At 37.2% G+C, this 25,691-nt stretch overlaps 1 protein-coding gene across 11 annotated transcripts in view, besides 1 other annotated feature; it reads left to right on the top strand.

Moving 5' to 3' along the window:
• Window positions 1–25,691, top strand: part of COL25A1 (collagen type XXV alpha 1 chain) — a 493,934-nt gene that overhangs the window by 355,586 nt on the left and 112,657 nt on the right. For 9 of the 11 annotated variants that reach the window (XM_011532335.3, XM_011532334.3, NM_198721.4 and 6 more), the window contains 3 exons: window positions 5,636–5,707; window positions 6,427–6,534; window positions 9,230–9,265. The exons of 1 other annotated variant lie outside the window; for it this stretch is intronic. In XM_011532335.3, coding sequence (XP_011530637.1) covers window positions 5,636–5,707; window positions 6,427–6,534; window positions 9,230–9,265 — 216 coding nt within the window. Of the gene's footprint in view, window positions 1–4,804; window positions 4,865–5,635; window positions 5,708–6,426; window positions 6,535–9,229; window positions 9,266–25,691 lie in introns of all 11 variants that reach the window. One more of the 11 variants, NM_001256074.3, reaches the window with a different exon arrangement.
• Window positions 14,886–15,490: an enhancer, noted in NCBI's record as "OCT4-NANOG hESC enhancer chr4:109852739-109853343 (GRCh37/hg19 assembly coordinates)". NCBI's record gives its function as "activates a minimal SCP1, AML or CMV promoter by ChIP-STARR-seq in naive H9 embryonic stem cells {active_cell/tissue: H9 hESC(naive)}" and the evidence as "EXISTENCE:reporter gene assay evidence [ECO:0000049][PMID:30033119]".

Here is a 25,691-nt window from a genome sequence, read left to right as displayed (position 1 = left end):
TCATGATTCATAACTACCTGCCTACCCCAGAAAGCCTCTTCCTTGTGTTCCCTCTACTATCCTTCCATTGTCCAAGCTACAGACCTAGGACCATTCTCTGCTCCTCATTTACCCTTATATTATCAGCCAAGTTACAAGTCCTACAAATTTCAACTTCCTTAATAACAATTGAAACAATTGATTTGTCCCTCCTCTAGTTCTAAGACACAATCTCACAACTAGACTATTGTAATACCTTCCTAAATGGTCTATCTTCAGTTTTACTCTTCCTGTACCAACCTCCAGCCCCTCATTCACCTGGCTTGGGAGGTCTTCCATGGCTCCTGAAACATGTGTCTAGTGCACATTTTATTTTCTTTGTAGCCCCCCCGCCAACTTCTCCACCATAATACTTATCACTCTGTATGATAACTGCCAGCTTATTTCTATTTCTCCACTAGATGGTAAACCCTGTGAGCTTGGGATCTTGCTCACCATTCAATCCCCAGAGCATGGCATAGTAAATGTTGCACAGAAGGTGCTCAACAAATGCTTTTTAAATATTGTTGAATGTTAGTCAGTTTTAAAGCTTTCTAATATTTAAACTGTAAAGCAGGTAGAAGAAAATTATAAACACATAAATTGCGTAATGACAAAGTTTAGAATCAGAAGACCTGAATTGAATTTCTGGCTCTATCATTGCCTTACTGAATACTTTTGAGAAAGCACAAAATCTTCTCACTATTTGTAATCTTATAACACTCATTATTACTGCGTAACAATAAAAATGACAATAACACCTTGAATGTATGGCCTCTAAGTAGTTGGAAGCATTTCTTATGAATTATTTATTTGTTCAATATCCCTTTGGGGTAGGCTTGCATTGTTTCTTCTAGATGGTAATGAAGGGGGAGATATAGCCTTTCCTGTAATGATGTCAAAATATTCATTGTGAGATGGTTGCCTACTTCACAGAATGTCATGAAGATTCATGAAGCTGTCTGAGGCTTTATGCTCTCAGGAGGGAAAAAAATAAGTTTTATATATATGGTAGTTTCACAGCTCTTATACATCCGATTTCTTAAGAATTCAAAGTATTTGGGTGTGAAAATATGTACAAATTATTTCAGGCCAGGTGCAGTGGCTCACACCTATAATCCCAGCACTTTGGGAGGCTGAGGTGGGCGGATCACTTGAGGTCAGGAGTTCGAGACCAGCCTGGGCAACATGGTGAAACCCCATTTCTACTAAAAATACAAAAAATAGCTGGGCATGGTGGTGCATGCCTGTAGTCCCAGCCTACTGGGGAGGCTGAGGCAGGAGAATTGCTTGAACCCGGAAGGCAGAGGTTGCAGTGAGCCGAGATCGCGCCACTACACTCCAGCCTGGGTGAAGAGCCAGACTCCATCTCAAAAAACAACAACAATAACAAAAATTATTTCAATATTCAGCTTATTCCTGGATGTTTTCTCCATATTTTTCTGGAGGCACATTTGTTTTTCCACACCCACTCAAACCATCTGTGTACCAGGCAAATTTTCTAAGATGCAAAACCAAGTAAAATATGTCCATTCTATTTGTTTAGAAAGGATTATGACTAATGATACTGTGGGAAAAAATGGTATGGTTAATAAAAATTATATCCTCTGTATGAGCAGCTAGAGAAGCCTAGCAGGTATGGCCACACAAAGCCATAAGGTGTCAACACCTGTACTGAAGATAGGTGTCAACACCTGTACTTTACAAACCAACCCTCCAAAGAACTCGTGCAAGAAGCAGAGTCAGTGTCTACCTAGGATCTGGAGGCAGCCCCTGTGAAATGGGATTTTTTTTACCACCATCAAATGGTGAAAATTTTTAAAACATATTCAATTTTGAATGCTAAAACCCTATAATATATATCGATGTTTGCTTTACATAATAATGTTTAAATTTATTTGCCATTAATTAAATATACTTTTTAGGAAGATGTACCATATTTATTATTGCTTTGAAACACTCTGTAGGATGCTGGCATATACTCTGAGGGTTACTTTTACCCCAGTTTGAAAAGCACAGGGTCCTAGCACATTGCAGCCCAAATCATGGGATTTTTGTTAGAATATAAGAAACTCTGTCCACATGTCCCCTTTTTACTTTGCTACACGTAAACTCCTGAAAAATTCCTTGCCTAGCATGCTAATGATATCTTTAAAATGTAGCACTAAACACCTAATTGGTAGCATTTTCACAGTCAAGATGATTGAGGAATATAAATCAGCTTCCTCAAATAGAGATTATTCTGTTTGAGGAAAAAGGTCTTTCTGAGGTGAGAATTACCTATCCAATTCTCTCTTTAGATCTCATTAAAATTAGAACCCAAACTAAGGAGTTATAAAACTTAAGGCTTTTTTTTTTGTGAGCATTTTGAAAATACGATCAAATAGAAAGCTGGTCATGCTCAGAGATGAGTACAAGAAGTGACTTATTTACACATTCAAATTTCAAAATATTTTTAAGTCCTACCATGTGTGCTGCTAAAAGGTTTTTAATTTAAAATTATTTTGTTAGATAATCCTGTTTCAAGTGACATTATGATTTATCGCCACTAATCAAGATTCTGATCCCTCATAGACTTCTTGTTTGTATCTGTTTTTGTTCTTTGTTACATAAATATGAGGTTTATATATAAAATTCTGACTGTGTAATATAGGGCTAATGAGTCACAGATGGAAAGATGCTGGCACATTACCATCTAATAACATTTTAAACTCATATTCCATAGTAAAACAAAAGCAAATTGTATACATCTGTTTTCAAACTTGTAGCATTTCTGAATTTATGCAGAATCTATATTTAAAGGACTTGTATTTAGAGAGAAGAAAAAGAGGACATAGGTCACCTCAAAACTACGCAGCCACTTAATAGCCTTATCAGAACGGATTTGGCAAAAGAGATAAGATTTTCTCTGTTTTGCTTCCTGAGAAGTTGTAGTACCGAAGACTGAGAGTCAAAGGCATTAGAGCTGAAGAAATGTCTTCAGACTACAAACTAATTTTACTGCCTTTCTTAAAATGAAAAACATATCTCTAATATGAGGAATGTGGGGGTGAAATATTCATGAAACTAATAAAATTAAAAATGTAGAAAATGTAGAAATTTCCTGGGCTTTCCTAAAAATATCCACAAGATAAATTTGGGTGGGAAGAGGGAGAGCCTAGGCCATGTATTGCTGTGGTTGTTGTTTATTTTATTTATATGGTAAACATGTTCTGTGTTTTTTTTTTTTTGAAAAAAAGGAATAAAAGGCTTTAGTTTCACATGTTGTTAGAAAAGAAATAGAACAAAGCCAAAATTTCTCTCTCAGACTTACCCAATTGATAACGCCTGGGAGGAGGAGTTAGTACAAGTTATTGAAGAACGAGTGTCTAAAACATCTCTCCCTGTTCTCCTTGGATAAGGAATTCAAAACCGCTTTTCTGCATTAAGGGGTTGTGTGAACTGTCAAGTTCTTTTGGAAAAGTTATGTGACAGAAGTGATTACTGCAGAGTGTGACCATAAATCCCCCTGACATGAAATACACATGTTGTAAGAGACAGATTTTCATCCACCACCTCTGCATGAATTCCTGAAACAGGAGAGATCTGAGATTCATCATATGATTGGAGAGAGAAATTTTGATATGTGGGTGGCAAGACTATATTTTGTGAGGTGTGCTGTGTTTATTCTGGGGAATAAGTATGATCTGATGGCAAAATTTTGTTCCCTGTTGTTGTCCAAAAAAGAATTAATACACGTATTGTATGTCCTGAGTTGTAAACAGAATGTCAATTGAGGGAAATTACAGTGTGGTTTTCGTAACAGTGTCTATAGTTATCTCCATTTTGTACTAACATTTTGTAATTAAGATGTTGTAATTTTGTAAGTAAGATTCCAGAAATGCTTCGTGTAGCAAACTCTTTACACCGTGTAGACACAGATCCCATTGTACCTGCCCCAGGCTCAGTGACAATGAGCTCTCAGTTTCCCTATTCCATGCTTTAAGAAATTATTGGTTTGACTGGGCATGGTGGTTCACGCCTGTAATCCCAGCACTTTGGGAGGCCGAGGCAGTCAGATCCCTTGAGGTCAGGAGTTTGAGACCAGCCTGGCCAACATAGTGAAACCCAGTCTCTACTACAAATACAAAAATTAGCTGGGCGTGGTGGTGCACACCTGTAATCCCAGCTACTGGGCAGGCTGAGACAGAGAATCACTTGAACCCTGGAGGCAGAGGCTTCAGTGAGCTGAGATTGTAACCACTGCACTGCGGCCTGGGTGACAGAGCAAGACTCCATCTCAAAAAAAAAAAAAAAAAAAAAAAAGTCCAGATGTGGTGGCTCATGCCTGTAATCCCAGTACTTTGGGAGGCTAAGGCCGGTGGATCACCTGAGGTCAGGAGTTTGAGATCAGCCTGGCCAACATGGTGAAACTGAAAACCCATCTCTACTAAAAATACAAAACTTAGCTGGGCGTGGTGGCACATGGCTGTAATCCCAGCTACTAGGGAGGCTGAGGCAGGAGAATTGCCTGAACCTGGGAGGTGGAGGTTGCAGTGAGCCTAGATCAGGCCACTGCACTCCAGCCTGAGCAACAGAGTGAGACTTCATCTTAAAAAGAAAAAAAAAAAAGGTTTATTTTGGGGCCTTATGTGTCTAATTTTGTTTATGGTATGTCAGATGAGGCAAGACTTCTAAGTCCCAGGAAAGGGAGGTGCTAGGTATGTGCTTGTTTTGTTTGTCCCCTAGTGAAATGTCTGTGTGACGTTTTATGTCGTGTTGTTTTGGTGCTGTGCTATGTCCATAGGGCCTGCCAGGCTTCCCCACAGTTGCTGCCCTGCACAGTAATCAGATCCTCACCGTCAAGGTTTGTGGTTGTCACTCATGCCTGCACAGTCAGAAATGCAATCAGCATAAGCGTGAGCAGGAACCATTCAATTGGCTTGCCGAGCCCGTTGGCTTCCTCTCATGGTATATATCAAGTTACTGGGCACTTGGGACCCCACTTGCATCATTGAGGTCAAATATCTATTAAGAGGGTGTATCCTGAGCATACTTGAGAGGATATTGACATCAAACAGGTACTGTGAACAGAGGTGGGCATAGCAATCTAGAACCATGCCACGCCTTGATGGCTTAATTTACAAGCATTCTAATGCTCTGTAATATTTTTCCAGTCAATTAAATAATCCTAAGTACTCTCTCTGGACTTCAGGCGTCAATAAAATGGCAGTTGAGTTCACGCCACATTATGCTGGTTGACAAGTCTGACGGAAATGGAACTGGCATTTTGTCTCTAGACTTTCTGCTCAGACTGAAGAATGCAGGGGTGCACTTGCTTACCTGTTTCTGGGAATAAACTACATTAAAAAGGTCCAACATCCACAGTGAAATGATGAGGCACAAAAAATATTCATTACTACTGAAGTTCTGGTCTCAGCATCCCATTTCAGGATTATATTTCTTTCAAGAAGAGCCAGTGGGTCTAATGTTAGACATAAGTGCCAGTTCTATTTTGTTTAATAATCATTATAAGTCTAATGTGGATATCTTTATTTCTTTCTTGGGGCCTTCTGATGTCTATTCTTCAACTCTCTCATCTCTGAACTTCAACCTTTGACCTCAACTGACTGATCAGATGGTGTTTCCTAAAATCAATCATGGGTTTCTCTCTGCTGATCAGCAGCTCATTAAACGCCGCCTGATTAAGGTAGTGCTTATTCTTGCTGAAGTCTGATTTCTTCTTTACATCAGTTATTGCTCTGTGTACCTATTGCTTTACGATTTATCTCTTATGGGTGGGGTGTGGGTGGTATGTGGGCATTTATTTGGAAATATCCTCAAACAAAATTAAGTTTAGTGAGCTGCATTTGTTTGAAATGTTAGATAAATTACCAAAAAAGATATTAAAAGCCTATCTAATTTTTTCTTAATTAAAAAATTATAAATTGTAACTACTAACAGATCCAGTTTCTAAGCTCTCTAGATTTGGTAATTTATAAATTATTAGGCAATATGATGGGAGCCTCATATGCTTAATTTAAAGTAAACACATTTGTCTAACTATAAATGCAGCCATTTTATTAAATGAGGTGAATGTAACTGATGCAGTGTTGTTATGGATAAAGTAATGCACACGTTTTATACCAGCTCTGACTATAGTGGTAACATACACACTATTTCCAAGAACTGGAAGTGCTGGTTCCTGAACTGCTTTGATTTTAATAGCATCTACTCAGTCACCCAGCATGAATATTTATTTGCTCCCTGCTGGGAAGCAAATTGCCTACAGGCTTTATATTTGTGGTTGTTCTGGTTCTTTTCATAGTGTAAATGTGAATTAGATAATACAAATTTAAGGTGCTGAAAAGAAGACCTGGGTCTTTATCTTTCATGGTTATTGCTGGTCTGTTCCCTTCTCCATCACAGGGTGACCAAGGACAGGCAGGGCCTCCAGGACCCCCTGGCCCTCCAGGCCCAAGAGGGCCACCTGGGGACACAGGGAAAGATGGCCCCCGTGGAATGCCAGGAGTACCCGTGAGTCGCTTTTTGGATCACTTATTCTCACACGTTTTGCTTCATGTTAAGGGCTGAGAACTAGGGTGGAGTAGGGTGGTGAGGGGCATCAGGTCAGGGGGTCAAGTGAGTGGAGTGGGTTGAGGGAAGTGGGATGATGAGTGGAGTAGGTTGAGGGAAGTGAGATGATGGGAAAGTCCCCAAGCAGCACAGGGCACTCCCAGCTGCATTCCTCTTTACCACTGAATACACTGGGAATCCAAGCAAACCACAAGAGACACCTGGAGGCAGCCACTAAACTGTTTTTGAGGTAAGCCTCAAGAAGTCTTTGATTGGAGTTGCCCATTCCCAGGTGTATCCTCACTGCCGTAGTGTGCACCGGGGCCTTTGGTTTAAATGGGAGATTAGTCTGAAAAACTAAGTAGGAGTCTAATAACATTTTCCAAAGTTTCAATAGCAGACCAATAAAGTCCTATACTATTTATGGAAAGTAGAGGAAGTAAAATATTCTAATATTTAATCCCTTATAAATAACGTGAACCCCCAAAATTGCTAATAACCGTAAAATGAATGGCTAAAACATCAGTGGGTATGGTTTAAATATCATTTGTCTTTTGTATGTAAGGCTTATTCATAGAAATAATTTAAAAGTAATCTCAATACTTGGCTACTAAGATTGGTCAAGTGTCAATGATATAGTAGTAAAAGGCAGAAGATAAATGGTTTGATTTCATAGAGGCAACCCAGCAATTAAAAGAAATATATGGAAAAGGTCAAAAATTTTAGATTTATTTTATGACTTTAGGACTAGAAATTAAGGTTTATTACTGGATTAAATTATTTATTCAATGTATTTATTTAACAAATTATTTTCATAGTATTTTTGTAGTACATAATAATAATGAAAATATTTATCCACGAAGCAGAAACTTTTGAAAATAAAACCAAAAAGAAAAAAATATTTTTTTCTTTTACCATACTCATTAATGTTTACAATATTTACAATACTCATTAATGTTTTGGTATATTTTCTTTCATTTTTATATGCATATATTTATGCATTTTTAAAAGAATGACTCTTTATGAGAATATAGCGTACTTTAAAACTTCTGAGACAGCCTCATAAGCCCATATCCCTTTCTGAAAGCTGCTGTGAATTTGCTGATATAAAATGAGGAATTGTCTTTCAACATATGATTTGCTAGTTGTTAGGACTGCTTTCACTCAACCTTCAAAGACAGTGGTTGAATTCTGTAACTGTCTTCTAATGCCTTGCTTTTTCTCATGATGATATTCCAAAAGGTAGAGAGATCCACAGCTTTAGGGATATTTAAAGCTCTCCCATTGATTGCTGGTTGCCAACAGAAATACAGTGAGTGTCTCTTCAAAAAGTAGTTAAAACCATTTTGATGGTACATTAGTCAGATCATTGAGCATTATATGCTATACTATACTGAAATTCAAGATAGAAATTACTTTTTAAAAACAAAATTAAAGGTAAAGTATGACAAACCACACAATCCAAAATTATATCATTCTTTAAATGAATATAGTTTATTTATGTAAGTAAGAAATGGAGCTTTCTACACATAGGACAAATTAACTTGTTTTAAAATTTTCAGAAATATAACTTGAACTGTATATGGTCTCAGAGTTTATTTATATATACTATGATGACTGCTAGAAAAAGATTTTTTTTTTTTGAGACGGAGTCTCGCTCTGTCACCCAGGCTGGAGAGCAGTGGTGTGATCTCCGCTCACTGCAACCTCTGCCTCCCGGGTTCACACCATTCTCCTGTCTCAGCCTTCTGAGTAGCTGGGACTACAGGTGCCCACCACCATGCCTGGCTAATTTTTTTGTATTTTTAGTAGAGACAGGGTTTCACCATGTTAGCCAAGATGGTCTCGATCTCCTGACCTCGTGATCTGCCCACCTCGGCCTCCCAAAGTGGAAAAAGATTTTTTTGTGTGCAATGAGGTCTTTGCTGTGTTGCCCAAGCTGTAGTGCAGTGGCTATTCACAGACGCCGTCATAGCACATCATAGCCTTAAAGACCTGGGCTCACACAGTCCTCCTGCCTCAGCCTCCCAAATAGCTGAGATTACAGGCATGTGTCATCATACCTTGCTAGAAGAAGACTATAAAAATAAACTGTGAAATACTTATTTTGAAAGACCAGCAATATCTATATTTATTGGCAATTTAAGACAAAAATATTTTTAGCCAATGACTGTCATTATAATGACAATAAAATATAATTCTATATCAATCTGAATATAAGAAAATGATAATGTCATGATATAGTGTAATTTTCTCTATCAAATTTAATGAAACATGTTACTTCAGCCGTCATTAATCCAGGAAGACCAAAATTTAACATCAGTCTCTGCTCATTTTATTAAACACCTGCACTAAGAGCAATTGTCTCTCTGTCCTATGTATGAAAGTTCTGAGTTCTCATAAAGACACCATGTCATTATCTTTATGTCATCCTAAAGAAGACATGATAATCTAGACTAATTTTATTAAACCCTAAATTTGTAAAGTTTATTTGTAGAAGGGAAATTAGCTCTCTTTTAATGTGCTACATTCCTCTATTTAACCTGAAGAAATATATTTGACATTTACATGCCCCAGTCAAAGAAGAAAAAATGATTGAAGGGTTTTTTTTTAAATACTTACAGCGTTACTAAAATTATCACTATTCTTTTTTAAGGGTGAACCAGGAAAGCCAGGAGAACAAGGCTTGATGGCAAGTATCTCAGTTTATCTTTTTCTATACTAAGCCTGGTTGTTTACAACTATGGTCAAGATTATGTGTGATGAATGTATCTGTCATATGACAGACTATAATAAAAAAGTGAAAATTAGTAAAAGTTAAAAGTAATATGGCCTACTACATGCTAATGGTCATAAGACTACATATCTACATTGCTGTTGCAGGAGAAAAAGAAAGAGATTCCAGGTGTGGGGAGCGACAGAGATGCTGCAGGTCAAAGGAGAGAATTAATTAAGTGACTCTGCTGTAAGAGAGATTAAATTTAGGGGCATGCCTATTAGCTTAAATAGAAATAGAAATCCCATTTTCAAAGGGATCAGGTCTGACTAAATGAATTAGCACAGCAAACTTTGCACAGTGATTCAGAATTTTTCTACTGTTGAATATCTCTACCCGGAGAAAAATCGTTGTGCCTTTTGGTTCTCTGTCATTTAAAAAAAAAAAATGGTCCTGAAATGATTCCACATGGACTTACTCATAGACACACAGGTCCCAGTTCCCCATGAATTGTTTATCTTTTGCTGGTAGAAAAAATGTTTGGTTAGGTTGGTGGCTCGGGAAGAGTAGAATTCCTTCAACCTACCTCTTCCTGTCCCCTCCTGTCTGTCTCCTGAGCTGCCTTTCTAATCTATGTTATGATGTGAACACTATTGGGAAGCACGGGGTAATTCTCTAATAACCCAAATGCCAGAGGACGGCTCACACTCATCCTGGATACTGAAGGAATGGGCCCAGAGATTGCCAGGGAGCTGGCAGGTGACCACAATCAGCTTGACACTTTCCATCCTGCATAATGTTTGGCATGCAGCATGCAGATGTTCAAGGTATAAAAGGTAGGCTGGGCACGGGGGTTCATACCTGTAATCTTAGCACTTTGGGAAGCCAGCGAGGGGAGGATCACTTGAGCCCAGGAGTTTGAGACCAGCCTGGGTAACACGGTGAGACCCTGTCTCTAAATATATATATATATATATATATATTTAAGAAACAGGTAGGTCCTAGTGAAACTAATGCATAGAGTCAGGAATCAACAAGGCTTCTTTGGGCTTGGATTGTATTCAGCAGCTCTCCTGGGGAGTCAGCTGTAGGTACAGCTGCCTTTGCAGGATCCCTGGTGAAATGAAAGCATTCTGGGTCCAGATCTCACTCACTGCCTGGAAATTCTCTGTTCCTGACCTGTAATATCAAGATACAATTTTTTTGTTTGTTTGTTTGAGACAGAGTCTTGCTCTGTCACCCAGGCTGGAGTGCAGTGGCGCGATCTCGGCTCACTGCAACCACCACCTCCTGGGTTCAAGCGATTCTCCTGCCTCAGTTTCCTGAGCAGCTGGCACTACAGGTGTGTGCCACCAGGCCCAGCTAATTTTTGTATTTTTAGTAGAGACGGGGTTTCACCATGTTGGCCAGGATGGTCTTGATCTCCTGACCTTGTGATCCACCTGCCTCGGCCTCCCAAAGTGCTGGGATTACAGGCGTGAGCCACCGTGCCCAATACAGATAATTTTTGGTGCTATAATGGTTTTTGTTTAAAAAAGAAAAAAGTGGAAGGAACGGAAAAAAGTCCATATGTAAAACTTAAACAAAACCTTTGTCATCAGTGGTAAATGCATACAAGTGCAGCATTAGCTCTCAGTGGTATGGAGTTATAGAGTATGAAGAATTCTGGGAGAACTGCAATAAAATTTTGAAATTAATTTAAGCAATTGAAGGTACATGTAATTTTTGTCTTGGAAAATGGTGAAAACACATTCTTCCCCGTATATTCTTATATCGAAAGCTATGTGGGCTTCTCAGGAGCCTTTGTTTGTCCCCAGGTGTGCACAGACTACTCAGATTTTTATCACTGGCATTGGCTTTTTTCCCTGATACCCAACACAGCATCCTAATATACAATGTTCTAAAATAAAATGGATATATTTTTTAAAAATTCTTATCTTCTACTCAAGGAATTCTCTCTTACATATTACATATGCTCTCTAGGATATACTATGTGAATAACAATATAATCTCATTTGCTTACTATTCCCAGTTTGACATAGTTAAATACAAATGTTTGACCTGATCCTAAATCACTTGCATTATTATCTTAGTGTGCTCCAATTCTCATTTCATATCAAAACTTTCTCAGGTGAAACAATACTGGTTTTTTTTTTCTACAAACTTTTCTTGACTCTTTAAACTCTTAGGATTTAGTTCGTGTTATTTTTTAAATGCATTTAAGAAACAATGAAAATGACAAATGTTTCAAGGATATATATATTAAGTGATCTAAATGGCATTTAAAAATTACTGTTTTTAAAGATGTACGATTCTTTTCAAAGAGAAAACCTCTTTAATGTATATAAAGAAAAGTGACAAATTATAGTGCATAACCCAGTGAATTTTCACCAAGTGAACAAAACTATGTACAAACCAGATCAAGAACAAGGACATTATCTTAAACCCTTCTTTACCCCCAGTTGCCATCCCAGAGGTAGCCTCCACCCTGACTTCTGTCACTATACTTTAGTTTTGCCTACATTTGAATTTTATAGTAATCGAATCCTACAGTATGTACACTTTTGTGTCTGGCTTCTTTCATTCAACATTATATTTGTGAGATCATCTACCTCTTTTAATGGCTTTCACAGCTTGTTTAAAAAAATAGGAGGAAGAACCATATTTCCTTGACTACCCCGTTAAAACTACATCATTCTGATAGCAGTAAATGAATGAATGTCCGTCTGACCTTGGGCAAGTCACTTAACCTCTCAATTTCTCATCTGTGAAGGAGGGATAATAATACCCTCTCTGACTGCCTTAAAAGGTTGCCAAAGACAAAGCAATAAATTAGGGGAAAGCACTTTAAAACATATAATGAAGAGCTATATGAGTATGTTATTATTATTATCACTCAATTGTTCTCTCTAAAGTAAATTACAGGTGAGTGTAGATTTATATAACAGATGTATTCCTGTAAAGTTTTGTATAAATCAGATTTTCTTAAATCAACATATTTTGAATGTGCCAGGGAATTTTGCTGTTTAAAGAAATCCTATTCAGAATCTTTCTGTAAATCAGTGTAATCCCCTAATTCTTCTCCTCAGCAAACTGAATTTCTATATTTTATGTTTGCTTAACATGAAGTATTTCTCCAATCTAAAAATCTATCTTTTTAAAAAGAAATCATGATTTGTTAACTTGAATAGCACCTGTATATTTTAACTCATATCAAAGAGAGAAGAGGATACTAGAAATATAACTGCAATTTTCATGAGGAGGAAATTTTTCTTTTTTTCTCTTTTATTATTATTTTTACTATACTTTAAATTCTAGGGTACATGTGCACAATGTGCAGATTTGATACATAGGTATACATGTGCCATGTTGTTTTGCTGCACCCATCAACTCATCATTTACATTAGGTATTTTTCCTAATGCTATCCCTCCCCCAGCCCCCCATCCCCCCAACAGGCCCCGGTGTATGATGTTCCCCGCCCTGTGTCCAAGTGATCTCATTGTTCAATTCCCACCTATGAGTGAGAACATGCAGTGTCTGGTTTTCTGTCCTTGTGATAGTTTGCTGAGAATGATGGTTTCCAGCTTCATCCATGTCCCTGCAAAGGACATGAACTCATCCTTTTTTATGGCTGCATAGTATTCCATGGTGTATATGTGCCACATTTTCTTAATCCAGTCTATCATTGATGGATATTTGGGTTGGCTCCAAGTCTTTGCTATTGTGAATAGTACCGCAATAAATATACGTGTGTATGTGTCTTTATAGTAGCATGATTTATAATCCTTTGGGTATATACCCAGTAATGGGATTACTGGGTCAAATGGTAATTCTAGTTCTAGATCCTTGAGGAATCGTGAGGAGGAAATTTTTCTTAGAAACTTAGAAATTTTCTTTCACACATTGTGTGTGTGTGTGTGTGTGTGTGTGTCTGTGAACTTGAAATCTGGTAGGGAGAAAAGTAGTTCCGGTTTTAGAACTACTTAGTGGTGTATGACTATAGTCTGTGATCCTTTTTACTGATCTATAAAATGTAGGTAATAATTCCTGTTCTACCTGTCTCACTGGGTTATGGTGAGAAGCAAGTGAAATGATAATATGAAATGTTTTATGAACCACAAAGGGTTCCATAATTGAGAAGTACTACTATTAAAACAAATGTCTAGTGATATAACTTGGCATACAGAAAGGCTGCTCTAAGAAATGTAAGGGCTAAGAATAGTTGAATAATAGCTACCAATTAAATTACAACATGTCAAATAGTGCAATTAAGAGTGTAATTTATTGCTTTTGTCCTATTTGTAGTTGTTGTTGTTTTAGCTTTCTTCTCCTAAATATCATATCATCTTACATTATTAATTTTTCATAACATTCTCCTTCTCGCCCACTTATTAAGACAAACAAAAGATAATAAATACCACTATTCTCATCTTTTTCACATTATGTAAACCCCACTACATTTGTTGGTTTGTGTCATGGAGGAGTGCTTGCTTACATAAGGGCCTTAAGAGGCACTAGAGAGTTGTTATAAATTTAAAATGTCTCTGATGATGAAATGAAGAAGCTAGAAACAATCTAAAATTAGCTCTTGCAAAACTGCATGAGTGTCTCAGGTAGGGAATTAGTTTTCATAATCTAAGATATATAGTTTATATTGCAGAAGTAATCATCTGACGATTAACAGCATCTATGATAGAATAAAAAAGAAAACCTGCAGCTCACGCAGTTCCACATTGATTTAATCCTGCCATGCATCTATTCTGTAAACATGACCTTTGGGTTTCCAAGAAGTTCAGGATGAGCTTTTAAAACCCAGATTTTGCACTTAAATAAATTTGACTCCATCTAAATAAGGAGAGAGCTGCTGTATCTTATAAAACTAGACCCAAGAATGAAACAAAGGAATGACCATAATTGGAAGTGATCAAGTTCTGAATCCTAGCACAAATTATCTTTATCTTTCAGTTCTTCAGAGATTCAAATCGTTGTTAAAACAGTATTTTAAAAGGTATCTTTCCTTTCGATGTTCTTGCTGTTTCTTTCTTTGACAGATGCAGAAATTTTCAAAAGCATGAAAGATAGACGGTATTGAAAAAAATATACCAAATTGCTCCAGTTTCATGTATATTATTTTTTGTTCCAAATTGTCTATATCCAAGGTTTCAAAAACCAAATCACTTTCCTGTTCTGAAACTCTTTATTCCTTTCTTCTCCTCCCCTAAATATATATAAACTCCATAACGTATTCATTTATCTTCTACTGAATTATAAGAATACTTAAAGTGTTCCTCATTGGGCCGTAGTGGTATCTGAGAGTTCAAAACTCAGAAATATTTGCTGTTGTGGTGCCTTAAAGTGAAATTTGGACTTTTGTCCAAACAGTTTACAGATACTTTTAGTTTATTTTAATTTTACCTGCAAACACATTTAATACATTTGGGTGAAGTGAATATAATGTTTTTAAAATATTAGTTAATAACGTAAGCATGAAAATGTTTCTGTTGCATTTAAAATAAAATTGAAATACCCAGTATGTGAAGGTTTACTTTAAATATGTTCAATTTATAATGCATTGCTATCCCATGGATTTCATAAAACTCATGGCTTTCCTTCACTGTGCTTTGATCTGCCTGCTATCTTGATCAGCAGATGGCAGACACTGAAGACAACAGCAGACTTCCTGATTTGGATCTGGCAGAGGAAGCAAGACCCCCAAACCTTCAAATCACAAATAACAAAAATGACTGAAATCATCTTATTGTAGTTAGTTATTAGACTAGATTTTGCAACAAAATCTTGTTTGGTAAAACTGCATGTCCTTCAGTTGTGCACACTGCCTGCTGAGATGCCTTAGCAACCATTCTAATGCTTTATCAGCCTCCCTTAATCTGATTGTCCATGAAGTACATATAAATGGCACACCTGCAGGGCTCTTCCCACCTCCTTGGTACTTTTGCCCAGAGCCTGTAGTGCTGTTTTTCAAAGGGACCAGAAAAAGTAGACAAGTGATGCCTTCTATTTCTGGTGCTGCCCCACCACCCCTTCCAGGGAGTCCTGCCATAGAATCAACACAGTGGAGCTGTGTCTCCCCAGGCTGGGGGGACCTGCTCTGTGTTGATTCCTACGTGCACAGACTTCTCCAGAGGTGTCTAAAGGTCACCTAGTGAGGTGATAGGAAGGAACATTTGACTTTCCTTTGAAGCTGGTTCTGTCTCCTAGAAACAAAATGTCATCTTGGGGAGCATTTTCAACAGTGATCTAGAAGCATGATTATGTAGCAGAAAGACAGTCTCAACAGCTGAGTAGATGACTCTGTCTGTATTCCTCTCTCATTACTTAATTTTGTTTTCCTTATTGACCTCTAGGCTGTGAATCAGCTCTATTATTAACTATTTTTACAGTGGCTCCAGCTCAAGGTCTAATAAGCTCTATCATTTGGACAAATTAAGGTATCTAGGCCTTAGATTCCTCATCTGTAAAGAATGGTGAAACTAAACGGCATGATTTCCCTTCCAACTCTAAAGTCCCGTCATCCTACTCTGTTTCTATTATGAATGCACAGATGCATATTATATGTATCTGTTATATATGTTCTGTAAATAATTAAAAGCAATGAACAGTCATATGCTAAGTTTTGAATAGAAGAAAGTCTTAAAAATTGTCTCCTTCTCCAAAACCATAATCAACTTATCTAGTTGTCACTTCTTGTAACTGTAGAATCCAGCTTATTCTAGCTCTACTGAAGCAAAATAAGTGACTCTTGTATGAGAATATTAACCAAGTTATAATTGATCTGTCTTATCAAATTCTCATATTTCATCATTAGATAAAGAAGAAATTTTTAAAAACAGAGTTAAATCTGTTTGTGCTTTACATTTGCAGACTTAGGGCAAATGTACAAGTTTTAGGGCAAGAGGAAAAATGGGAGTCCTTATACAAAGTGTCTAAATATTTAAGTTATAAACCAACCTAATAAAACTGTTCAGTAAAATATGTTCTATCCCCCAACCTTTACAGATATATTCTCATGATGACTTGGAAAGTTCAAATCCAGAATTCTTGCACTCCTTGGAGTTCAAAGCCACAGTGTGGTGGCACGAGGAGAGCTGTAACTAGCCCTAGCCCTGTCCTTGGCCTGCTTCCCTTCTCTCCCACACCTTCCTCCATTCTTCAACTTTATAAGACTCAGCCTCTAACTTTATAAAGGTTCTTGAATGCTCACAGGACCAAATTTCATCTATCCCCCTCAAAATACCCACCTCTTTGCCTTCTCTTCCAATTTGTTGTGGTGCACACCAGTGGTATGGTTTACCTTCAGAAGAACAGGCCTGGGAAGAGGCAACACATAGTCTTTGTAGTGAGCTCAAGTCATTGGGGCAGAGAATTCTGGAGTCCTTAGTACCTGAAGGTCAGGTGGCTGGGTGGGGTGGTAGGGCTGAGGGTGGAGGGTATGTATAGAGATGAGCATGTTCTCTTAGACCCACAGATTCCTAACCCCCTGGGAAGCACAACCAGAAAAAAGCCTTTTAAAGCATGGGCACAAGACAAAAGCCTCCTTGCCAGATCTAAGGGAAGTTCAGGATCCATGTGTCTGAGTGGAACCTTAAAAAAGATATAGACTTCTGCTTGGTCACCTCCTTTGAGGAAACCTCACACATGCATACACTTTCACACTCCCCCAAGCTAAGTTAGAAGCTGTCTTCTCCCCTTCTCCACAGCATTTGTCACATCATATAATAGTTATTGGTACTTAGTGTGTTTAATAATAAGAGTGACTGAGTGATATGAGTTAATCAATTAATAAATCAGGCTCTAATAAAAAGAAATTAGCTTTATGTTTTTCTCCCAATTGATGTCATGTCATTATGCCCCAAGGGTAGGATTGGGTAGGATAAATTCAACAGAATTACACAAAATTGCTCTTATTTTTCTTCTTTTGTTTTGTTTTGTTGTTTTAGAGACAGGGTCTTGCTCTGTCACCTGGCCTGCAGTGCAGTGGCATGATCACAGCTCACCTCAGCCTCAAACTCCTGGGTTCAAGGAATCCTCCTGCCTCAGCCTCCCAAGTTGCTAGGACTAAGGCATGCACCACCATACCCAGATGTTTTAATTTTTATGTTTTATGGAGATGGAGGCTTGCTGTATTGCCCAGGCTTCAAGCAATCCTCTTGCATGGGCCTCCCAAAGTGCTGGGATTACAGGTGTGAGCCACCACGCCCAGCCTGCATCTTTTTATATTTATATATGTCTTATAGATTATTTGGAGTATATGTGTGCTTATAAATATGCACGTTATAACTAAAAGGATGATTTTCATGAGGACAATGGAAAAGTAATTGCATCAATTTCTAGTCACACCAGCCGGGCGCGGTGGCTCATGCCTGCAATCCCAGCACTTTGGGAGACCGAGGTGGGTGAATTACCTGAGGTCAGGAGTTTGAGACCAGCCTGGCCAACATGGTGAAACCCTGTCTCTACTAAAAATAGAAAAAATTAGCAGGCATGGTGGGAGGTGCCTGTAGTCCCAGCTACTCTGGAGGCTGAGGCAGGAGAATCACTTGAACCTGGGAGGCAGAGGTTGCAGTGAGCCAAAGTCGCACCATTGCACTCCAGCCTGGGTGACAGAGCGAGACTTGGTCTCAAAACAAAACAAAACAAAACAAAAAAGAAACAACCAATTTCTAGTCACACCATATGGCTGTTTATTAAGTAGGATATAAAAGGTTTAGAAGAAATCTTAGAAATCATTTAGCTTAGCATTTCACAGAACAGCATCAGAGTGAAAAGGAAACAGCCAAGGTTACAAAATAGTTAACGGCAGAACCAGGCTAGAATCCAGTTCACCTGATTTCAGTCTTGGGTGTTCTATTGTCTAGATCTGCACTGTTCAATGCAGTCACCATTAGCTACATATGGCTCTTTAAATTTAAGGTTGGCCAGGCTCTGTGGCTCATGCCTATAATTCTAGCACTTTGGGAGGCCGAAGTGGGTGGATCACTTGAGCTCAGGAGTTTGAGACCAGCCTGGACAACATGGTGAAAACCCATTTCTACAAAACAAACAAACAAAAACAAAAATTAGTCTTGGTGGCTCATGCGTGTAGTCCCAGCTACTTATGGGGCTGAGACAGGAGGATCGCTTGAGGCTGGAAGGTGGAGGCAGAGGTTGTAGGAAGTCGAGATCATGCCACTGCACTCCAGCCTGGGTGATAAAGTGAGTCCCTGTAGAAATAAATAAATAAATACATAAATAAATACATAAATAAATACATAAATAAATAAAATTAAAAATTCAGTGTCTAAATATTGTACTGGCCACATTTCAGGTGCTCAGTAGCCATATGTGATTGGTGGCTATCCTACTGGATTGACCAATATAGAATGTTTCTGTCATTAAAGAAAGTTCTGTTATTAATAGACAGTGCAGATCCATCTAGGTAGAAAACAGATCTGAATAGGATATGACTATATATTATAATCTTAAATTTAAGAACTTTTTCTGTGAATCATGAGTTATTTAAATTCTAGCAGCCAGTGTTTCTCAGCATTGTTGATTTAAAATAGGAAAAGCACTTACACTGCTCAATGGAAATATTTTTTACTGAGTGTAGTGTAGGGTGATAGGCCTTTGTGAACCATAAATTTGTTTCCTTTATAGTACTCGAGGGAAGTATGTTTAATCACAGAGGGCAAAGAAGCCTGTTAATTTTTCTTTCTTTTCGGATCATTTCCATTTTGGGTTTAGCAATACGAAGCAATTTATTAAATATTTAGAAGGGCTGGAGTGAGCTAATTTTAGTGTGGATATCTGGCAAGAGGTAATATAGAGTCTCTGTTTTGGAATCTGATCAAAAATAGATTTTTATATACCTAGATTTATCTTTAATCTATGGTATATAATGCTCAATATTTAGTCTTGGGTTCTGGTTTTGTCAAGTGGTGAGAAAAATGTATTACTTCTTTAATTTCCTGAGCTTTAAGAGACCTCCCTTAAAGAGGTCATAGCCTCATGATTTTGAGAAACACCAATAAATGAATCATCCTGGCTTAATATTTTCCTCAAAAATTCAGCACATGAGATAGAGAAGTCAAAAAGAATTTACTCTTTTAAAAAATAATTACTGCATGTAGAACTTTTTTTCATCAAATGCTCATGAATAAATATAATGACATGCCATCTTCGTAACAGGCTCTGGGTTGTAGAGGAACTTTTTCAAATAATAGAAATTATGGGGTGATATTACGGAAACAAAAATCTCAGATACTTAAACAGAACAACTGCCTCAAACTGGGAACTCTTTCCAGTGATAGAGGTATGGTAATATGAGTGTTGAAATAATGGTGGAAAGCCGCTAAACATAATTTAATAATTTTTAAATTCATTCATTCATTTTTTCCATTTAGTCAATAATTATTTATGTGTTAGGCACTAATCTAGGTGCTGACGATGTGAAATATATGGCCTGAGGAAGTGGATTTTTAGTCAAGTGGATTTTTAAAATAGGTAAATATGTTAAAATATAGCCAGTTGAAATGTGCTAAAGAAACACAAAGGAAAAAAACAAGCTTTGTCTGGGTGTGCTGGAGAAGGCTCACAAAGGAAGTGAGTTATGACCACTGGGCCTTGAAGAATGATTAAGAACTTCACATGAAGACTGATCGGAGAAGGATATGGACTTCTTGGGAAAATATAAATGATGAAGTGTGACTGAAGACAGGATCCATGAAAGACTTGAAACGAGAGATGAGGCTCTCCCTTCTCAGCACTGTCTTGCTCTGCTCTTGTTTATACTGTGTTCCTTCATACCCACTTCAACTAAATCACTGGCTTTTACATTGAAAACATTGCAGTGCACTCTCTTATATTCTAAACATTTCCCAACAGTTTCTAGTTGGCATTTCCACACACTTAAGCTATGAAATCCAAATCTTGTAAAACATCAATTGAATTACACTCCAGACGTACATATAATAGTGGCTAGAGTTTATGTTTCTTAACCTTCCCACATCAAACATCCAAGCAGAACATGGCATTTTATATACATGCATCTTAAATGATTCCTTCTTAAGTAAGATAAATTTCCTCTTACTCTTTATAAACCAAGTTTATGTATTTTGTGATCTTGTGATGCATTTCACCAGGTTAATATCTTTCAAAAAATTGTAATTAAAGTCTGTTGTACCAAACCCTTGAGAAAGTCTGGTACTAATGTTTTATGACTCCATAAGTTAGAGTATACGTGTTATCATTCTTCCCTTTGGAACTAGACTTTTAAAAGTATTTTCTTCATTTTGCCTAACTTTTATTAAATCGTGGAAAAATTCTTAAAAAGGAAATAATTTTAAATGGCTTAATAGTTTTGGGCTTTTATCCTCCCCTTCACAGATGGACCACCTCTTTTTTGTTCCCTGTGTTTTTTATTACAGAAGCTAGTTGTATATTCTTGTGTCCAGAAATGACCAGCAGCTCTCAGAGCTTCAAATTTTACTGTTAGTCATCAGGGACAGAACAGGAACTGTGTCCGCCCCCTACATCATTTCCTAATAGCAGGCAACCAGAACTTGCCTTAAAACATGTCCCAAGAGGCATCCTAAAGCACATCATTTAGGAACTCAGCATCCTGTTTAAGTAATTAATACCTCAATCAAATTTGTGCTAACATCAGTAGTGTCAGAAAAATTCATTAATTTTTTTCCATCTCATGATGTGTCTTTCTGTGTTATTTTTTTGTTCACAAACTGGAAAGTACAGCCAACACATAATGGTCACAGAGTCATTCTTTTCTTAACAGCCTACTTTGAAGATTTACTTGGGTTGATAATTCTATCTACTGTTTGCGTAATTGTTTTCTGAAGTGCATTAGGGACCTTAGGCCTACATACACATACACAACACTCTCATTGTTAATGATACCATGTAATTTGGATGATTTTGGCTTTGCTGTATTCATATGGAAGTCATGACCTGAATTCCTCCACTCACGCTTGCAATTAGAGCTAATCTGGAGGCTATTAGAATAGGCCAGCAATGTTAGAATGAGTCAGGTGAACAAAAGGGTGAAAAATCCTGCCATTTCTGTGTTGAGACACTATTGTCTAAAGTTTAAAAAATAAAAAAACCTGATTTGCTTTAAGTATCCATTTATTCATTTCTGTAAATTTTATCCTACTCAAAGTAAACATCATTGTGCTTACAAGCACCTACAAGGCCATACACATACAATTGTTCTTCCCTGTTTGTATCCCCATCTCCTACTTACTCACTGATAGCCTACTTGGTGTTCTTTGAACACACTTAGCATGTGCCCAACTCTTGGTGTTTGCATTTGCTCTTCCCTTGCCTGGAATATTCTTCCCCCTTCTATATGCATGGCTCTTTTCCTGACCTCTTTATCACTGAGAGCTTCACTAAATGACCGCCCCGCCCCCACCACACACACAATTTAAACTATTCCATCTACTTCTCACAATCCATATCCCCCTCTTTGCTTTAGCAGTTACCACCTGACACAATTTTATATTTTATTTGTTTACTGTCTTACTACATTCACTAGTATATGAAGTCCAGGGGTATGCATTTTTATCTTATTTTGTTTTGAGTGCTCACTGAGTGGTCATTTTGTTTTGTCTTATTTTGTAGACAAAAGAGAATTCAGTGGGCTCTTAAAAACTATTATGTGAGTGAATAAATGAATTAACCTCAAAACGATTCACTGAGCAATCACTATGTGCCAGCTACTGTGCATGATAAAGGTAATTTAGAGGGAATAAAGAAGTAACCAGACAATTATGATTATTGTTGGAAAATTCTATGAAAACATCATAGGGGTGCTTTGGAGAACAAAAGAAGGGCACCTAACCCCAAAGGTGAGGGTACTGAGCTCTGATATTTGGAATGGATGCAGGAGAGGACCGGGGATTAGAAAGCCCCTTATAGGAACAGACAGAGGTGTAGAAATGTGGAAGCCTGGCTTATGCAGAAAACTGCAACTACTGTCAAAGCTCAGACTCTTCTAAAAGGCTACGAAAAGCCATTGAAAGATATTTAAGTATGGGAAAGGTATGAACCCATTAGGGGAAGCTCACGCAGGCAGCAGTGTGCAGAAAGGATTGGAGGAGACCAAAAGTAGGGTCGTCATTAGGTGAACGTTACGTTAGCTAAGGGAGCAAGAAATGGGTTTAACAGGAATGTAGCAATGTGACTGGAGAAGAAGGCTGGACCATAGAGATATTCTTAAGTATCTGATGGACTGAAGTAGGAGGAGTTAAACTTTACTCTGAGGCCCGAGTAACATGCTTTTGGTAAAGACAGTCACCAACATGGGGTCTATGATGTTTCTTTAACTTACTTTCTCACCATATGCTGAATATTGTACATAAATCTTTACATATGGAATCTAGCGGGGAGAGGAAAAATTGGAAAGAATATCAAGTATACTATATAATTTCTTACTGTGTTCACCAGTTTTTATCTGAACTTTATTTTGCATAACTTTCCATGATGTTTTCTGAAAGAGTATTAAAACTGGTATAAAGGTTTATATGCAGATTAGTGATGTTACTCCATGCTTAGAATTTTTCAGTGACTCTTTGAGTTTTTATCTTTTTGATAAAGTTATATTCATGATGCAGAATTCTTCAATTAAAAGTTTTTACAATTTATATCACCCAGAACCTGTATTTAAATTAGTGTATTTTAAGGTTCTAATTATAGTTGATGTTTCTGGAGTTTAAAGAAATATAGCTCAATATGTTGAGATTCTGTATGTTACAGTTTTTAATCTTGAGATATATGCAAAGAAATTATGTTGAAAAAATAAAACTAGATTATTTTCATCTTAACTGGTTATATACAAAGTATATGCAAATATAAATAAGGAAGGACCATTTCATTGATTAACAGAGATGAACCGAAAAGATGATGACTCTAGGTTGGAAATCTACTTGATACAAACTTACTAAATTATGAGGATAACAATAATGGAATTGTTTTGGAAATCTTGAATCACTAGAACAATTGACTTTAATTTTGGGAATAATCAGCATTCGTTTAACTAGTGAATAATGAATTTATGGCATTATTCATCCAAGTTGTTGTGCAGGATGAAAATCTAAACAAGTGTAAGGAAGATTAGATAGGCTAGGAGTAGTAGCTAACACTTGTAATCCCAGCACTTTGGGATGCCAAGGTGAGAGGATCGTTTGAGGCCAGGAGTTTGAGACCAGCCTGGGCAATATAGCAAAACCTTGTCTCTACAAAACATTAAAAACTTAGCCAGGCATGGTGACATGTGCTTGTAGTCCCAGCTACTTGGGAGGCTGAGGCAGGAGGATTGCTTGAGCCCAGGAGTTTGAGGCTGCAGTGAGCTATGATCACGCCACTGCACTCCAGCCTGGGCAACAGAGTGAGACCCTGTCTCAAAAGAGAAACCAAAAATAAAGATTTGATAAATTAATGAATGTTTCTATGGTATTTACCCATTACTTTATAAACTTACATTTGTACCAGAAACCGCAAGACTAATCAAATGTAATCATCTTAACCAACTGGTAGCAACATACCCTAATTTTAAAATCAATTTTTGAGTAGGGAAACTTTGATTTGTAAGCTTAACTTTAATTACCACAGTGTTATAGATACATAATGGTATTATTAATCTAAGGATACTCAAAACAAATGCATATAAGTAAAATCTTGCTCAGTAAAAATAACTGGTATTTCTGGATGTGTGCATGCATGCGCACACGTGTGTGTGTGTGTCTGTCTGCCTGTACTTAAGTGTCCTATATTTTATTCTGCCTTAATCCCAGGTATCCCTCCCCGAGTAATGGATGATACTCTTGTTAGATCCCTACCATTTTTCCTGCCAGAGAGATCAAAGAAGTATATGCACATTTCTGGTAACTGAATATATTCTTGGCAGCATAGTTATGAAAATTCTATAAGACATGTATTCCCAATTCAAAATTAATGTTAAATCTTAAAAACTGCTTTTATTTTTAGAGGTTACCAGACGTAGCAGTAGTTTCCTAACAGTAAAGGAAAATATTGTCTTTGTAGCCATCCTTAGATTTTCATTAAATATTGTGTTAAAATATACAACTTATTTAATTTTATGAATTTCAGAGTTGTGATTAGTCATTCTAAATCTCTGATTTTGTGTGATTATGCAACAGACCAAATTAGAAAATATCAGATATGTTATTCGCTAATTAAAATATTTAATGTAGAATTCACTCTTATTTTTGTTTGAAATATTCCCTTCCGGGGTTATATATCCGTGTGATGAAATAGACAATTTTAGTGAGCAACATTTTTTTCAAGTGGCACTTAGGTTTACAGTGGGAAACAAGCCTTTATGAATTGAACATACACATTCTCGGTCTAAATACTGAATCAATGTACCCCTTGTTCTATGATTTCCTTTCTAACATCAACATTTTAAGAACTAAAGTACTCTAGAGACACTGGAGAAAATGGAATCATAGACAATGATAAAACCCAAGTCCTTTCTTCATTCTCAGATCTCCTATCACCACAGCCTCCAAATTCTGCCCTTACTTAGCACGAACATTTACTTTCCAAACAATTTACCCAAGTGAGGAAATGATTAAATATGTTTATATGCTAAGGGGAAGAACTAGTGAAGAAGTGGAGCCTCTGATACAGATCTAGGGGTAACTGATTGCAAAAGATCCCTGAGGACAGAGACAAGGATGGATTCCAGAGTATACCAGATGAATTTGCCTTGTATAGGAGGAGGGGCTCTTCTTCCTCTGATACAGGAAAGAGGTACACATACGTTTGGTTTGATGAGAGACAAGATGTTGAGGGAATTTACACCTGATAGTCTCTATTTTCTCTGCAAAATCTAAAACAGGGAGAATTTTAAATAAAGGGAGTGAGATAAGTAGGGAGAATGTCTGACCACACAGATAAACCAAATAACAAGCTCATTAAACAGTTGGTTGAGTAAATTAAATAGAAATATATAAAGGCAGTATTGCACAGTGTACTTTCAATAACCTAAAGCTGATTATATGAGGAAACTGTTAGTCTTCCTGTGAGGATTGCAAAATAACATGGTGAACAGATTCTCTGAATGTTCCTAAACATTATATATTTTTAATAAAAAGGATGCATGAGCAGGTCTTCTTCTGACAACCACTCTAGTGTTTTATTTAGTGTTACAGAGTGAGAATGCAACATGCTGATTAACTGAAATGTCACAAACTGAAAATAGGCTGGTCATTAGTTAAATGTCATGGAATAAAGAACTTTTAACATGAAATGATGAGTGTCTATAACTTTGCTAAAACGTACTAAAAATATTTTTGAAAGAACTGGAAGAAAATGCTTAATAGTTGTATTTAAAAATAGAAATATAGCTATATCTCTTTG

This window comes from Homo sapiens, chromosome 4 (genome assembly GCF_000001405.40).
Source record: "Homo sapiens chromosome 4, GRCh38.p14 Primary Assembly".
Classification (NCBI taxonomy): domain Eukaryota; kingdom Metazoa; phylum Chordata; class Mammalia; order Primates; family Hominidae; genus Homo; species Homo sapiens.
Note: the sequence above shows the minus strand (reverse complement) of the source record. Positions and strands in the feature narration are given on the sequence as shown.